Source organism: Homo sapiens, chromosome 18 (genome assembly GCF_000001405.40).
Source record: "Homo sapiens chromosome 18, GRCh38.p14 Primary Assembly".
Taxonomy (NCBI): domain Eukaryota; kingdom Metazoa; phylum Chordata; class Mammalia; order Primates; family Hominidae; genus Homo; species Homo sapiens.
Genome location: NC_000018.10, coordinates 5,770,673 through 5,788,862, shown reverse-complemented (window position 1 = coordinate 5,788,862; position 18,190 = coordinate 5,770,673). Strand labels below are relative to the sequence as shown.

General features: G+C 38.6%; 1 long non-coding RNA gene across 11 annotated transcripts in view; it reads right to left on the bottom strand.

Moving 5' to 3' along the window:
- MIR3976HG (MIR3976 host gene) overlaps positions 1 to 18,190 on the bottom strand; it is a 165,609-nt gene that overhangs the window by 125,545 nt on the left and 21,874 nt on the right. The gene's annotated exons all lie outside the window — the stretch shown is intronic.

The window sequence follows — 18,190 nt, the reverse complement described above, 5'->3', positions numbered from 1 at the left end:
AAAATTAGCCAGGCATGGTGGGTGCATGCCTGTAATCCCAGCTCCTTGGGAGGCTGAGGCAGGAGAGTCGCTTGAACCCAGGCAGTGGAGGTTGCAGTGAGCCGAGATCGTGCCACTGCACTCCAGCACAGCCTGGGCAACAGAGCGAGACTCTGTCTTTAAAAAAAAAAAAAAAAAGTCACTTTCCCTGTATCATTGGGTCTTCATTCTAAAGGCTCCCACGTATACACTTTAAATATATTTGCATGCCTTTTCTCCAACTAATCTGCCTTTTATGAGTAGATTTTTCAGCAAAACTTCAGAGAGCCAAGGGGAAGATTCTCCTTAGTTCCTATAGTTTCTATAGTTTGATGTCACAGACAAGATGATCAAAGTCCCACCCTTCTGGAAGCCTCAGTTAAGGGAATCCGGGAACCTGATTAGCTGCAAAAGGGTAAGAATTTCTAGCCATCCAGGCTTCCAGCCTCTTTCTCTGTGCAATCCAGTTGAGTGGATGGTAAAAATCACTGTTTCTCTGCAAAATTTTGATTAATAGGACCAAAAGATTTGTGTGTGACTAGCTTTGCTGTAGCAACTCTGGTGTACTTTTGGATTCTTTGTGGTATGAATAGTCATGTTATTTGACCCCTTTCCTCCCAGAAATAGTCTTTTCCTTTGTCTTTCTATGTTGTTTGTAACAAGAGGTACTGGATAAAGTTTCCTCTTATCTTGTTTGATTTATCTGAGAGTGTGACCTGTGACCAAGCAGGAGCACTCTGTCGGTCTCTGCCACCTGCTGGGCATGATTTTCAGGTCATGTCAGGTGGTCAGTCTGAAAATGGCTAGCAACCTGAAACTTTTGTTCAGAATATGTCAAGCTCTCAGGAAAGTTTGTCTTAATAAGAAGTCTTGTTGTGGGGTGGGGGGAGGGGGAGGGATAGCATTAGGAGATATACCTAATGTTAAATGACGAGTTAATGGGTGCAGCACACCAACATGGCACATGTATACATATGTAACAGACCTGCACGTTGTGCACACGTACCCTAAAACTTAAGGTAGAATAATAATAATAAAAAAAGAAGTCCTGTCCATAAGGAACTTTTGTTATCTCAACCCTTGTTGCCTGTGTAGTGCTGGAAAAGTCCAGTCCCAAGAGGGCCTGCCTAGTATCACAGATTAACAGGTCTGTGACTGGTGGCACCCCATAAATTTGTGGGTTACTGAAGGCAAACACTATCATTAACTGTCAGTGGCAACAAGAATCTTTTGCTATCTTAGCCTATTCCTAGGAGTGAATTTTCTGGAGGGAGTCTTTGGAATTGCTTCTTCTCTGAAGTTGAATTGGGTTGCTATTGAGGTGCTATAAATACACCATGGGAAGTTCTAATTGTCAATGGCCAAAAGATGGATGCTTTAAATTAAACTCCTAAATTAAAAAAAAAAAAAGAGATCTCTTATTCTAAACAATTGATTGGAAGACCAAATTAAAAGAAAGACATTAAAAAATATCATGCCTAGCCTTAGAAATTCTCCCTATAAAAAGCAAAAATTGGACCTAAAACAAAGCCAAAATATTTGTACAAACTGCCTGCTTTAGATCCCTGCGAGAATGATAATAGAGGCCACTCCCTGTGGCCTAGTAGTTAAAATTCCTGGCTTTCATAGCTGTTGCCTGGGTTCAGTTCCTGACCAGAGATCAGTCTTTCCAGTTTTGATATTTGTGTGACTTTTGACTTTTGGGGGTACCCGTTTGTTATTGATCATTTTGATTTCCTGTGTTTTTCCTTTTTTTTTTTTGAGACGGAGTCTCGCTCTGTCAACCAGGCTGGAGTGCAGTGGTGCAATCTCGGCTCGCTGCAAGCTCCGCCTCTCAGGTTCAAGCGATTCTTGTGTCTCAGCCTCCCAAGTAGCTGGGATTATAGGCGCCCACCACTACGCCCAGCTAATTTTTGTATTTTTAGTACAGATGGGGTTTCACCATGTTGGCCACGCTGGTCTCAAACTTCTGACTTCAAGTGATCCACCTGCCTCAGCCTCCCAAAATGCTGGGATTATAGGCGTGAGCCACTGAACCCGGCCCCTGTCTTTTCCTCTCTGTGGGGGCACGCAAGGTTTGAGGGCCTTTGGTGTAGACCATCAGCTGAGAAACTGAGACTCTGAAAGAATATGGCTAGACAGAAATGTGGACTTGACCTCGTTTGTGGCCAGCAAACGTTTTCGTTTTTTAAGCTGTCTTTGAGGTGGTTCTGGATCTTGTGAGGAGTGCTTTCCTCTCTTTGGAGACACCTCTTGCATCCTTGCTTATATTATAACCATGGTTAGTGTTCAACTTAAAAGGAATCTTTGGCTTAAGAAAAAAAGGTTCAAAAACTAGAAATATTGGCCATTTGTCCCCGCTAAAATCTAATAATAAGAGATTTAAAAGATTTTTTTAGGAGCTATATAGTCAAAAGTCAACTATATTAAAACTGATATTTAGGCCATATATGTACACATATAGATATAGGTTTAATGCCTCTGTTCTCTCTCTCTAAAAAGTCTCTGTCCACTGAATTTCCCTCTTCCTGAACCCCTGCTAACCATACATGCTCCTTTGGTGTGTTTCTCCAATTACTTCTGTCTGTGCCTCCTGCCTCTCCACCCTTCATGGCACATGGGGACACCTAAGACAATTTCTAACACCCTGAAATCTCTAAGGAAAGCAGCAAAGGCACCACAGACTTCTCTTTTGGGGAAAAATGTCTGTTTTTCCTCGTAAAACCCCAATAGTTGTCAAGTGGACAAATTCCTCTTAAATCTAAAGCTTTACTATCTTCTGCATTAAACTCCTTGATCAATTTGGCTTTTAGATACATACATATATATGTTATACGTTGTGTCTACATGTATGTGTATGTCTATACAGATGTTTATATACTGTCTACATATGGTACCAAATTAACTTAAAGATAAATGAGTACTCCTAAATAGCTAGCCCAAATAAATGCTTTTCAAGTTCATGTGACTTCAATAATCTTTGATAAATAAATGTAGTTTTAATATTATTGGTAAAATAAAATAGAAACATCTTCAGAATTTAATTTAGATATTTTTACCTGTGTCTATTGATCAGACAGGTTTATACTGATAGGTATTTTAAGGTCATAAAATAGTTGCTTCTATGATTTTATTAATATGTGAGCTTCTATCTCTGATTTGCACCTCTAGGCCATGATGAGGCCCAAGGATGCAGGAACTGCTCCTTCCTAGCCCATCTGTGCCTTTTAGCCACACTGGGAAGGATTCAATCCTCCAGGCATTGTCCTTTGTCCTAGGCTCTGTATCAGTTATATAATTAAAATTGCTTATTTCCTGGATTTTTCACTGAAAATAAGGATTACTAAGAACTAACATTAAAACTAATACGTGTAATTAAAACCTACCACATATAAGAGAAGCAATTCTATTTACAAAGAATATAAGAAAAGTAAGATGCCTTTTTGGTTTAAAAAATTATGTAAAAAAACCCATAAAATACGGTGTTTCTTTTTTGTTAAAGGAAAATTAATTTTGTCTAGTTTAGAGGATTTTAAAAGTTGCTTTAAATTACAGGGGAAAATGATAAATAAAACTGAATGGATATAAAAAGTTGGGAAAATAAAAAATGGAAAAAACTATAAGAGGTTATTAAAGGTTTATAAAAATCTTATTTTATATGGTCAAAAAGATTAGATTAGCTTATTTATAAGGTTTTATCAAAATTAACTTTAACATTAATAATATACTAATACAAAAGTAAATTTTTATTTTATCTTTTGAACAAGATTTTCATGTAATGTTGATATGAGATAGTAACAGCTTTTTTTCTTTTCTTTTTCTTTTTTTTTTTTTTTTTACCTTTTAAGTAAACTACATAAAGGAAAAACAAAGAGGGAAGAGAGAAAGAGACAGACTCAGTTTGCCTCATTTTGCCTTTATCAGGTCTTATGATTGTTTGGGAAACTGAGTGTTCTGTCTATCAAAGAGTAAAGGTTTTCACTTTTAAAAATCTTTGAATTACCTCGTTGGCTAAATGAGTGACTTATTTTCCACTGACCTGTGATTCAATTTTGAGCAAGTGCTTAAAACACTTATAGTTGACAAACTTTCCAAAATCAGAATGTCAAATTCTATATTCAGTCAGTCTTTTTGGCCTCAAACTAGCTTTTTGGATATTAGAACCCCCGGAAGTCCAAGAAAGACATATTAGCCTTATTTGGTATGCTAAGATCGTACAGGAAGCATTGTCAATTAATAAATTGTATGGCCAGGTGTGATGGCTCATACCTGTAATTACAGCACTTTGGACAGCCAAGGTGGGAGGATCACTGGAGGCCAGGAGTTTGAGACCAACCTGGGCCACATAGTGAGAGCCTGTCTCTACAAAAATGAAAAATAAAAAATTTAGTCATGTATGCTGGCATGTGCCTGTAGCCTTACCTATTTGGGAGGCTGAGGTAGTAGGATTACTTCAGCTCCAGAGTTCAAGGCTGCAGTGAGCTATGATCTTGCTACTGTACTCTAGTCTGGGTGACAGAGTGAGACCCTGTATCTAAAAAATTAAAATATCCTACACATGTACCCTAGAACTTAGAATAAAAAATAAAATAAATTTAAAAATAAAAATAGAAAGGAAAAGAAATCATGTTTAACTTTCTTTGGATTATTTAATATTTGTATGAATGTGTTATTAATTTGTGTTCCAAAATTGTATAACATTCCTGAAATTCTGACATCTCAGTACATGTTAACATTAATTGTGATTGTTATGTCAAATGTTATACGCCACAGAAATAACAAAATTTCCTCATCAATTGTGTCTTTAACCATGGCTATTCTGTCTTTTGTCATCCGCAGAAAATTATTGTTTTACTTTGATTCTTCTCAAAAAGCAGTTTATAATTGCTATAGTCCAAAATTTGCCTCTTTAAGGATATTCGTGGAAAAGGCTGGCAAGTACTCTTGAATACAGGTTTCTGATAACTTCAGAGATTGTACCATTGGACTATAACTAAAAAGACTTCTTTCTCTTTTGGGCTATTTATAGTTTACAATAAATTGGTTAAAGTATATTTTTGTAAACACAAATTTGAAGCATTTTCTTTATCTCTAGCTGATTTCTTCAGAAACTGGAAACTATTTATGAGTATTCTTAATTTATGGCAATATCTTTTTTTTCATAAATTCAATAAGAATCTGTTTTCTTTTGTAACAGGGCATAACTGGAGACACTGATTGTTCTACCAAAGCTTTGACTGGAATGGCATATTTTCAGGTACATCCAGACTATTTTGAGCAGTTGAGGTTGACTTAATAAAGCTGATAAAAAGCCCCTGTAAAGACTGACCTGTTGCCTTGTCTACATCATTCCTTTACAAGGTTCCTGACTTGTGGTAAGAAAAGAATTTGTCACTTTCTAACTGGGACAGAAACCTCAAGTTATTTTGGTAATTTGAGAAAAGAGAAATGTCCCCAATGTGAACAAGAATTACAGGCACAGTTTAATGACAAATCCTTGGCTTACAGAGGCTTTAAAAAGGCTAATCTGAAAATTCCATTAAAAACAGTTCCAGCAAAGACAACTTTATGAAAGTCTATATGACCAATCACTATTCTTGTGACACCTTATGCAAATAATCAGGCCCAATGTAGTAAGAGGAAAACTCATTTTTCAAATAAATTGATCCTACTATGATTTGTCTTTGGTAGGAATTGGGGACTGGAAAGAGAAAAATTATGTCTTAAAAGAAAACTATAGTACACCTGTTATTAGAGTCTAGTCTTGTCCGCTTTTTTTTTTTTTTTGAGCCTACAACTTCAACTGAATCCTAAGTTATTTCCTGGCTACATGTCTCCAAACTAATGTTTCCAATTATTTGCCCATTTTTTTTTTATTTGAAATCTCTGAAATTAAAACTGCTTTTCCCTAAAGCCCTGCAAGATGAGGCTAGACAACTTGATAGAAATTTTGAAAAATCATTACAGCACTTAATATATGAATAGTTTAATATATGAACAACTTAACATATGATTGTGCCTGTTGACATATAGTCTACTCAGAAAGTTCACTGGAACACCTGGTGAAACTACAAACCAGGGAAAATGTGTCAGAGGGCCACTATCTGCTCTCACTTCATCTGAAGATGCTGAGCCCAACATATAAAAATCTTCACTGGCTGCCTGCTCTCTGGATTTAAAATTTGAGTTTGTAGTTTGTTCTAACCATTCAGCTTTGTTTTACATTCATTTCCATTGAAATGACTCTTACTAAACATCTAATTTCTCAGATCATAAAAAGGCTTGACTCTGGTCAAAGCCCATTTGTAGCACACTTGCCTGAAATGAGACACAACTATTAACTGTTTAATTGGATTGGCCTATTCTCAGGACTGAGAGATTGGTTTGATGACTTATGAGACAATTCACAAATCTGATATTGGCACTCTGAAACTTCTTTAGGAAGTTTCATTTTGGGGAATGCTGGGGCTCAGAAAATAATACCCCAAAATGAAGGCCTCAGAAACAGCCACAGAAGCAGAAGTTTTTCTCTGACCTTCTCCTGCCCTCTTATCTCTCAGTCCCATTCTTCTCTAAGGCTAGCCATAGAAACTGGAATCCCTTTCCACAAAGCAAGTGGTAGAAACCAGACTCCCTTTTCGCCAAAGCCAGCCATCAGATGTAACAATATCATATTACTCTAACTTTCCCTCCATCCTTCTGTGTAAAAACTGGCCATAAGGAAATTATCTAATCTACTTTGTTTTACTGTAGGGGGTCCTACCTTACACTTAGAGGAAGGAATGCAAGCTCAGAGAGCCCAAGAAGAATCTAGATGGACAGATCTTGCTGGATTTCTCCAATTAGTCTACTAGCATTAGATCATATCTTTTCTGTACAGTTGTATTTCGACATGACTCTTTATACTTTGACAAACTTAAGCGTGTAAATGGACAATTTCCCCTGTATCTTTGGGTCTTCATTCTGAAGGCTCCAGTGTGTACACATTAAATAAATATCTATGCCTTTTCTCCAGTTAATCTGCCTTTTATGAGTTGATTTTTCAGTAAAACTTCAGAGAGCTAAAGGGAAAGCTCCTCCTTGGCTCCTACACTTCTTCTGTGACATTAAACAAAGTCCCTTTAACCTCTCTGAACTTCAGTTATAATGATACTATGGGTTTTACCTAACTCACTGGATTATTTTAATGTAAGGATCAATGAGATGATAGATGAAGATGCTTTGTACATTGGAAAGGATATTACAAAAATTAACTTGCATTCCAAAAAAATGGTGTGGAGTCTATCATTTCTCAAGAAAGTGTTCCTCATTGTGAGTTGCTGTATTGACTAGGAGGCAGATTGAATTAGGAGAGTAAATTGTGACCTTTGAGGTGTTGATCCCCTAAACTGGAGCATCTAAGGTTGTCTGATGTCATGGGGCCTGTACATCCATAGGGCTGGTTTTCGTCTTGAGAAGTCATGAGGTGGACTTACCACAGGCAATGTGACTTGAGGAAGAGAGAAATAGAGAGATAGAGATGATATACATAGATAGATAGATAGATAGATAGATAGATAGATAGATAGATAATGATAAATCAGGAATTTAATTAGCTGAGTGACTCAGATGGGAATAGTGAAGTCTAACTGGGTTTCTGTTTATGGTAAACAGATGTGATTTGTAATCTAACTCAATTAGCCAGAAATTAAATGCATCTTGAGGCAGAAATATCATGGATTTAAATATTCTCTTGGGTTGGGGAACACTCAGTAAAATGACAACTTTTAATTTTTGTCATCAGAGTCCTAACTTAGAGATGCTCTGCCTTCTCTCAGGGCACAAATGGTCATCCTCTTGCCCAACCCAACACCACCTCTGTTCTTGCTTCAATTATAATGGAAGGTGGCATTTCCTTACTGCCCCAAAGTACTCATGGTTGGACACTTACAGATAATATGGTAAATGAATTCCTGCTAATATCTTGGCAGTTACTCCAGTGTGTTCATAACTACTCTTCCAATGTAGGTAAAAGAAAAATCGAAGAAGGATATTTCTCTATAAGCGGTGCTACTATCAATGGACTCTCTATGGGCACAATGAAGCAGGTGTCGTTGGAGAAGTCATCCTCCCATATGATGCAAAAGCAAGCTAAGCTTCAACTGAACCGCCGAAGTGTGTTTCCACCTCTTATAGGAGAATTCGTTTTTTATCAGTGTCACCTGGGGGCAAAACTTTGAGGTGGAGGCTGAATCCACACAAAATTTTGATTGAAGAGCAATTCAGGGTCTCCACTTTGGGGGCTTCTCTACTGTGACCCAGAAATCCAGACCTTCTGCTCAAAATCCATTACATGTTTTCCTGTCTGCATCCTCACCGCCACCAAACAGGACCTGAGACATTGACACATGAGCCACAACCCTGCCAACAAAGCTGCCTGAGAGAAAGAAGCACATTCCTGGGGATGAACACATGTGGGGCAGGTCCTTGGGAGACATAGATCGACCCAGGTCCCTAGCACCAGCCTCTCCAGCTCCTGTTATGTGTCTTCCCTTGCCCTTCTTTGATCCCAAAGTCCTTCCTCTGGGCTAGGGAAGAGGAAGGTAAGATTCAGATCTATTTCTCTGGGGTGCATATTGCCATGTGGGGAAAGCAGTTGCTAATTCTGAGTGGTGAGCACAAGGGGAAGGGGACTCTGTGATTGAGGTTCTTCCAGAGCTCAGAGTGGAAGGCTGCTGAGGAGCAGGGCTCCTGATGTGGGGGGAGCACGTGGAGGAGAATGACCAGCTCTCATGCTGGGGCAGGCATTGAGCTTCCAGGGAGAATGAACACAGTTCTTACCCTGACTCTGGACCTGCTTCTGGCTGACCCTCTCCTCTTCCACCAAGGCCAAATTATGTCCTTAAGCCTCCTTTTCGCCCCTGGAGGGAAAGGTCATTTTCCACAGCATGTTTGGCCCTCCCAGTTTGGCCCCCAGAGCCTCCCACCCCTCTTCCCACCCCTCACTAGTATCTATCTTCTCCCCACTCTTCCTGGCCCTTGCTTCTAGGCTTCTCTCTTGGCCTCTCCATTCTGCCTCCTTGCATTATCTCAGAACAAAGAACTTTATTAGCCTTCTTATTTTATTGCTGCCCTGACACCTGGCATCACTGTGTGACCTGCATGCCCCTGCTTCCAAAGCCCTTAACCAAGAAGGCTGTGCCAACTTAACCCTTCTTGGGGCTCAGCCCTGTCTGAAACTCCAGGACCAATTCTTGTTTTTTAAGAAATTTATTTTTAATTTTTGTGGCTACATAAAAATTAAAGGAGGTGTGTATATTTATGAGGTACATGAAATGTTTTGATAAAAGGATGCATAATAATCACATCATGGTAAATAGGGTACCCATCCCCTCAAGCATTTATCCTTTGTGTTTAAACAATCCAATTGTACCCTTTTAGTTATTTTTAAATGTACAATTAAATTAGTATTGATTCTCTCTCTATATATATAGTCATATATATAGTCATATATAGTCATATATATAGTCATATATGTAGTAATATATATAGTCATATATGTATATATAGTCATATATATAGTCATATATGTATATATATCTACATATATAGTCACCCCGTTGTACTATCAATTACTAGGTCTTATTCATTCATTCTAATTATTCTTTGTACCCATTAACCATCCCCACTTCCTTTCACTCTGCCACTATCCCTCCCAGCCCTCAGTAATCGTCCTTCTACTCTCTATCTCCATGAGTTCAGTATTTTGATTTTTAGATTCCACAAATAAGTGAGAATATGTGATGTTTTTCTTTCTGTATCTGGCTTGTTTCATTTAACAATAATGACCTCCAGTTCCATCCATGTTGCTGTAAATGACAGGATCTCATTCTTTTTACGGCTGACTAGTACTCCATTATGTGTATGTACCATATTTTCTTTATCTATTATTCTGTTGATGAGCACTTAGGTTGCTTTCAAATGTTGGCTATTAGGAAGAGTGCTGCAATAAATGCAGGTGTGGAGGTATTACTTCAATATCCTGATTTCCTTTCTTTTGGGTGTATGCCTATCAGGGATATTACTGGATTATATGGTGGCTTTATTTTTAGTTTTCTGATGAACCTCCAAACTGTTCTCCATAGTGGTTGTACTAATTTACATTCCTACCAACAGTGTACAAGAGTTCCCTTTTCTCTATATCTTCTCCAGCCTTTGTTATTGCCAGAGATTCTTTTTCTTTTTCACCAGGACCAATTCTGATTCCCATCAGGGAATACATAAGTACCCTTTTCAAGTCAGATCGCTCTACAAGCAAGCTTTCCTGCCTCACACAAAACACCCTAATCATCCACGTGGTAGCCCATATCTAGGAATATCGATTTTCATATCTATGAGATTCCGACTGAAGGTCTTTAGGGGAGAACAGCCCATTTGTGGCTCAAGTAGAACCCTGGGTGTGTCCCTCTTTAGACTACTGACAGAAAATTCTTATGAAATTACTTTAAGGCAGCTGTTCTCTATAGCTAACATTGTAAGGTTTCCTTGTAATTAAGAAGTTATATTACTAAGATACAGTAGACATGATCTGGCTATTCCCATTTAAGGAAAGTTGGCAAAACTTAGACTGATGTACACAGATACTACTACTACTGCCCTTGATTGTGTGACCTTGTGGAAGGTCACTTAATCTCTCTGGGCCTCAGGTTCCTGGAAAGTGGAGTGGAAGGAGATTAGAAAATCACTGAGGTTCATTCTAGCATAAAAATTTTGTCATGGATTGCCACAGGAATCCTTGTGAGTGAACAACTATGGAACTGGGCATAAGGCAGGGCTGCATGTCTGACATGTCTGCTGATAGCCCTCCCTCCCATGCTTAGCTATAGCTCAGAATTTATATGAGCCAGTATTAAAAAGAAAAATGATCTCAAATCAATAATCTAACTTTGTACCTTAAGAAACTATAGAAAGTAAAGCAAATTAAACCAAAATATGCAGAAGGAAGGAAATGATAAAGACTAGAGCAGAAATAATTGAAATAGAGAATAGAAAAGCAGTAGAAAAAAATTAATGAAATCAAATGTTGTGTCTTTGAAAGATCAATGAAATTAACAAATGTTTAGCCAGAGTGGCCAAGAAATAAAAAACAAAACCTCCAATTAGTAAAATCAGAAATGAGAGAGGAAATATCACTACTGGATTATAAGAGAATACTATGAACAATTGTATGCCAGCAAATTAGATATCCTACATAAAATGGGCAATTTCTTAGATGCAAGTTACTGAAACTGACTCACAAAGAGATATAAAAACTGAATAGACCTATGACAAGTAAAAAAATTGAATTAGCATTCATAAAACTTCCCATAAAAAAAGCCAAGCCCCAGGTGGCTTCACTGATGAATTTTACCATGGGTAAAACATTAAGACAAAATTACCACCAATCCTTTACAAACTCTTTTATAAAATAAAAGACGAGCTACCACTTCCCCAACTCATTCTTTGAGATCACTATTACCGTAATATCAAGGGCAGATTAAGACATTATAAGAAAACTATATACCGATACTCCTGATGAATGTAACATAAAAATCTTCAAAATATTACCAAACCGAATACAGCAGCGTATTAAAAGGATTATATATCATGGCAAAGTGGGATTTATCACAAAAACATAAGAGTGGTTCAACAAAAATCAATCAATGTAATAGATTCATTAGTAGAATAAAGGGGGAAAAGCACATGATCATCTCAACAGATGGAGAAAAAGCATTTGACAAAATCCAACACCCCCTTCAGGATAAAAACAAACAAACATTCAGCAAACTAGCAAAGAAAGGGAACTCCTCAATATGATAAAGACTGTAAAAAACCGATAGCTAACATCAGATGAAGAAATGATGCTTTCTCCCTAAGATCAGAAACATGATGAGGACATTTACTCTTGCCACCTCTATTAACATTGTACTGGAGGTTCTAGCCAGGGCAATCAGCCAGGAAAAAGAAAAGGTATATAGATAGGAAATGAAGCAATAAAACCATCTCTATTCAGAGATGATATAATCTTGCATAAAGATAATTTTAAGAAATCCATTAGAGTACTATTAGAAATAATAAGCAAGTTCAGTAAGTTTACATGCTCAATATACAAAAATCAACTATATTTCTACACACTAAAAATGAACAATCCAAAAATAAAAACAAGAAAACAATTCAATTCACAGTATCAACAAATATAATAAATACTTAGGAATAAATTTAAAAGAAAGAACTACAAAACCTATACTCTGAAAACTATAAAATATAATTGAAAGGAAGAAGATATAAATAAATGGAAAGACAACTCATGTTCATGGATTACAAAACTTAATATTGTTAAATGGTAATATTCCCTAAATTGATCTGCAGATACAATGCATTTTTATGAAGCTCCCAGCTGGCTTTTCTTCTTTCTGGACCTTTTCTTTCTTTCTTTCTTTTTTAACCTACTGCTTAGAAATACAAGGGGCTCAGAATAACCAACATAGCCTTGAAAATAAAGAACAAAGTTATAGAACTCCCATTTCCGAGTTTCAAAACTCACTACTACAGTAAGCCGTATTGCACTGGCTTACACAGATATATCAATGGGATAGAATTGACAGCCCAGAAATAAACCTGTACATTTATGGTCAATTGATTTTCAACAAGGGTGCCAAGGCCATTCAATGGGAAAAAGAATAGTCTTCTCAACAAGTGATGCTAGGAAAATAGGATATCCACAGGCTAATGAATAAAGTTGAGCCCCTACTTCACACCATGTAGAAAAGTTAACTCAAAATGGATGGGACATAAATGTAAGAGCTAAAAGTATAAAACTTTTTGGGGATGAGGGGAAAACCATGAGAGTAAATCTTTGTGACCTCAGATTAGACAATGACTTATTAGATATAACATGAAAAGTATGAGTGACAAAAGGAAAAAAAAAGATAAATTGAATTTCATGAAATTCAAAAATTTTGTCCTTCAAAGGACCACATAAAAATGTGAAAGGACAATACACACAGTGGGAGAAAATAATGTTTGCAAATCATATACCCAGTAAGGGTCGTGTGTCTAGACTATCTAAAAAACCCTTATAACTGAACAATAAAATGAGAGGTAAAATAATTTGAAAATGGGCAAAGGATTTGAATAGATATTTCTTCAAATAATGTATACAAATGGCCAAAAAACACATGAAATATGCTCAACCTCATTATTCACTAGAAAAATGCAAATCAAAACCACAATGAGATATCAATCCCCATTAGCATGGTTATGATTTAAAAGACAATTTTAAGTCTTGGTGAGTAGTGGAGAGATTTGAACCCCCATACATTGCTGGTGGGAATGTAAATGGTTCAATGGTCTTGAGAAACAATTTGACAGCTCTTAAAATGTTAAACTGCTAGGTATATCATCAGGAGAATTCAAATCAAATGTCCACACAAAAACTTGTACATGAATGTTTATAGCAGCAGTAATCATAATGGCCAAAAATGGAACTAACACATATGTCCATCAACTGAGAAACAAAATGTGGTATATCCATACAATAAAATATTATTTGAACATAAAAAAGAGAGTAGTTTTGACATATGTTACAACATGAATAATCATTGAAAGCATGCTAAGTGAAAGAAGCCAGACAGAAAATGTCATATATTCTAGGATTCTGTCTATATGAAATGTCCAGAATAGGCAAATAAATAGAGACAGAAAAGCAAATTTGTGTTAGCCAGGTGCTGGGGCAGTGAGGGGAGTGGGGAGTGACTGCTGATGGGTATAGGGTTTCAAATTGGTGTGATCTAAATGGTCTAGAATTAGATAGTGGTGATGGATGCACAGCTCTTGGAATATACCCCAAACCACTGAATCACACGCTTTATCTTTTTTTTTTTGACTTGTATTTTAAGTTCCGGGGTACATGTGCAGGATGTGCAGATTTGTTACATAGGTAAACGTGTGCCATGGTGGTTTGCTGCACAGATCAACCCATTACCTAGGTATTAAGCCCAGCATCCATTAGCTATTCTCCCTCCCACAACCCCTGACCAACAGGGCCCAGTGTGTGTTGTTCCCCCCATGTGTCCATGTGAATCACACACTTTAAAAGTGTGCACTTGATGGTATATAAATCGTCTCTCAGTAAAGCTGTTATTTAAAAAGAAGCCTCCAGTGGTTCCCAAGTCCAAGCTCCATGACAGCATGGGGGGTCCTGCTTTTCCACTCCACTGTCAGCTTCGCTCATGTGAATCTGACAGTCTAGCAATGTCAAGCACCCTGTAGGTCCCAGAGCCTACCACACTGATTCTTACCTCCATGCCTAAGAGCTCATGTGATGCCTTGCATTAGAATGTCCTTCCCCTTCTTGTCAAATTGCTATTTTATTTTCTTTAATAAAATTTTTTTTGATAAAATTTTTTGAGCATGCAGAAGAATACAAAGACTGGTACAATGAAGACCCACTACCTAGATCCAACAATTCCTTTTTCATATGTAACTCTCTAGTGTCATCTAATGCACAGTTCAGGCTTCACTTTGACCAGTTAGCCCCAAGAATCCTTTACAGCTTTTCTTTTTTTTCCAAACCAGGCTCTCACACGGAGAAACACACACTACATTTGATTGTTATATGTCTTAAGTCTTTTTCACAATCAAGACCATTTTTCCCATCACCTTCCCTGGTTTTTGAGAATAATATTTAAGTCTCTTATATTAAGTTTCATATTTAAGAGATTGGGCCAGTTGTGTTACAGAGTGTCCCAGAGTCTAAATTTGTATGATTGTTTCCTTTGGGTATTCTTTAACTTGTTTCTCTAGTCTCTGAACTTTCTGTAAAGTAGAAGTTAGATCTAAATGTTAATTAAATATAACTTTTTTTAGAAAGAGGCTGGGTGCCGTGGCTCACGCTTGTAATCCCAGCACTTTGGGAGGCCGAGGTGGGTGGATCACCTGAGGTCAGGAGTTCGAGACCAGCCTGGTCAACACGGTGAAGCCCCATCTCTACTAAAATAAAAACTAGCCGGGTGTGGCGGTGGGTGCCTGTAATCCCAGCTACTCGGGAGGCTGTGCCAGGAGAATTGCTTGAACCCAGGAGACAGAGTTTGCAGTGAGCTGAAATGGTACCACTGCACTCCTGCCTCGGTGGCAGAGTGAGACTCCTTCTCAAAAAAAAGAAAAAAAAAGAAAAAAAAATAAAGAATATGTCGTGGACTTCATATTATATCATATTAAGAGGCACCTACTGTTATTAGGGTTCATGCTGGCCAACTCATAAAGCTTTTCTTGTTATAGTATCCCTTTAGTTGCTAATTTGTTGTGTGTATGTTCGGGGATGGGGGGTGTATTTTGGCATAAAGTTAATTCAGAGCTATAACTCTGGGCTTCTTCCTTAAAAGATGGTATTGTCTCCCAGACTCATTGAGGACAAGCACTGTGTTAGCCATGGGATATAAACAGATGAATGAAGGACAGCCCCTGTGCTCAGGGATAGGACAGCACATACATGCACATACATACAGAGTCCTGAAGCACCGTTGTGTAGACAAGGATAATGCATTCAACAACGTTGAGCAGTGACTGATTGGAGCCTAACCCAATTTCCAACCCCCAACCTCCAAACTCACAGGAAACTGCAGCCTGGGAAGCTCCCCCGTCCCTGCCCTCTCCTACCTAGGTCCACTGTACTTAGGGCCTGACATGCAGGAAGGCTGAAAGCTCAGAGAGTTAAAAAAAATATTAAAAAGCAATGAAATAATGTCTGACTGTTCCTTGAACATCAGACATAGGACTTGGCTCCTGCTGTCTCAATGTTTACATTAAGAAAAATAGTTTCACACTGCACACCAGGCAGGCATGCATGCGTGCTGTTGTTAAGTCTAAGCAAAAACCCAATTTGCTTTCTACTCACTAGGCTGTATGGAACCAGATTAGAACGAGCCAAGATTTTCTTACTCCGTGGTCACCACGAAAGCCAGAAGCAACTGAATTCTATTCAGCACAGACCTGGGACTTGCTTCTGTGCCAGCATAGAAGCCCCATTTCACGGCATTCTTTCAACATTCAACCACCATGCAGGGTTTATATACCGATCACTCGGTAAAGTCAGTGTGATTGGTTTGATCCCTGAAGGCCTAATCACGATTGATTTTAGAAACGTAGCCATGTCTGGAATTGCTAAAAGAAAATATGCTAGAAAAGGGAAGCCAGCACTATTTGTACAATTATCATGACAAGTAAACAAGAGCATTCCTGCAATTCCTTGATCCTGCTGCACTCCATCTGGAAATGGTCAGCGATTCCCAGTGCAAATCCCTGTGACGTGCCTCCTCTCACTAGATGATTCCCTGGCATAGCCCTGGACGCTCTCTGAAGAAAGTGAGATTGATGCAAGGGGCTCTGATCCACGTAAATGACCTACATAGTGGCTTTGCTCCTGATGAAGTGGTGCTGATTGCTTTCTGCACGTATCTTTCATCATTACTAGGCCCCAGCTCCCCTTCTCCAGATAAAGATATTAAAAACAACACACTGAGCAGAGAAAGCTGAAGAGGCACAATTCAGCCAAGCATCACAGACACAAAAAAGGCAGCACAAAGTGATAAAATGAAAGCAACGCATTTGAAACCTGGCAATGTGGATGGCAAATCTTGATCATCGTTGCCTGCATCCCCTCCACCCATCAGAGACACACCAGCCACACTTCGTCTGAGAACCCATCTCTTGCTTAACATTCCTTCTGGGGAAGTATCTTTCAGATACTTTTTTTTATTGCCAGGTGGTGAAATAAATGGCTCCTTGGTAAATCAAGGCATATAGCAACTCTATAAAATCTTTATTATAATATTCATCTTTCTACTTCTGGTGAAAGACCAAAATAAAGCCCCAAGTTGTTTGACAAAATGGCATGCAGCTCTGAAAACCATAGTCTGAGTCGACAGGATATGTTATATATATTTTTATTTCTCAAGAACTTGAGTTTAAAAGTTATGTGGCTGGTCGTGCTTATCCCTCCTGGGAAAATAGCTCACGACGACCAGGAGGGAGAAGCCCCATGAATTACGACTTCCATTCTCTCTACGGTCATCAAAAATGAATTTCCCCTGGCAAATGGTTTATTTTGCAAATGAGTTTAAGTGATTCATAGGCTGCTGAAAAATAGCATCTTGAAATTTATTCTTAAACATGCTGCTTTATAAACTTAGTTCACACATATGGTGTTTCCCAGGCAAACATTCAAAGACACAGGGATCTAGAAGCCCGTGGCGAGGATGAAACCGGGAGGCCAGAACAGAGCAGCTCTCTGTAATCTACTGGGAAGTAAGACCACATGTGGCCTCCCTAGGACAGGCAGACTCAGGCAGGTTGTGCTGTTATGATATATACATATGTTTTCATCCGCAGTTCCTGGCTCATAACCCCCACAGCCCCGTTACAGATTTGTGTTATAATTTTGGGTGTGTGGGGCCTCAGGAAACAGAATCTCTCTGACCTCCTCCTACCCTCCTTTCACCTGCACAAAGGCAGGACTCTAATCTTCCCTGCCTTTCTGACTGTGGGTTGAGACCCTCCCCAGAGAGGATCCAGCCCTATACCTGGGGGGAAGGAATGCTGGGGTCATGAAGCTTCCATAAAAACCCAGGAGGACTGGGTTTGGAGCACTGCTGAATAGTTGAACACACGGAGTTTCCTGGAGGGTGGCATCCAGGGACAGCATGAAAGCTCTGTGCCTTTCCCCCATACCTCACCCTACACATCTCTTCATCTGTATCCTTTGCAATATTCTTTATAATAAATAGCAAATGCAAGTATTTCCCAAATTAGTCAAACACAAAGAGGGGGTCATGGGAACCCCAACTTGAAGCCAGTTGGTTAGAAGTTTTGGAGGTCCAGATTTCTGACTGGTGTCTGGCAGGGAGTGGTCTTGGGGACTGAGCCCTCAATCTGTGGGATCTGACGCTTTCTCTGGGTAGAAAGTGTCAGAATGGAATTGGAGGACATCCTGCTGGTGTCCGCTGCTTGATGTGTGGGAAATCCCCCCAGCATTTGGCCACACAAGTCTTCTGTATGGATGATTAGTGTTGTGGTGATGTGAGAGCAGAGAGAAAACCAATTTGAGAGTTTTTCCAAAACCCAGGTGCATATAAGGCAACTGATCTAGAACTCAAAG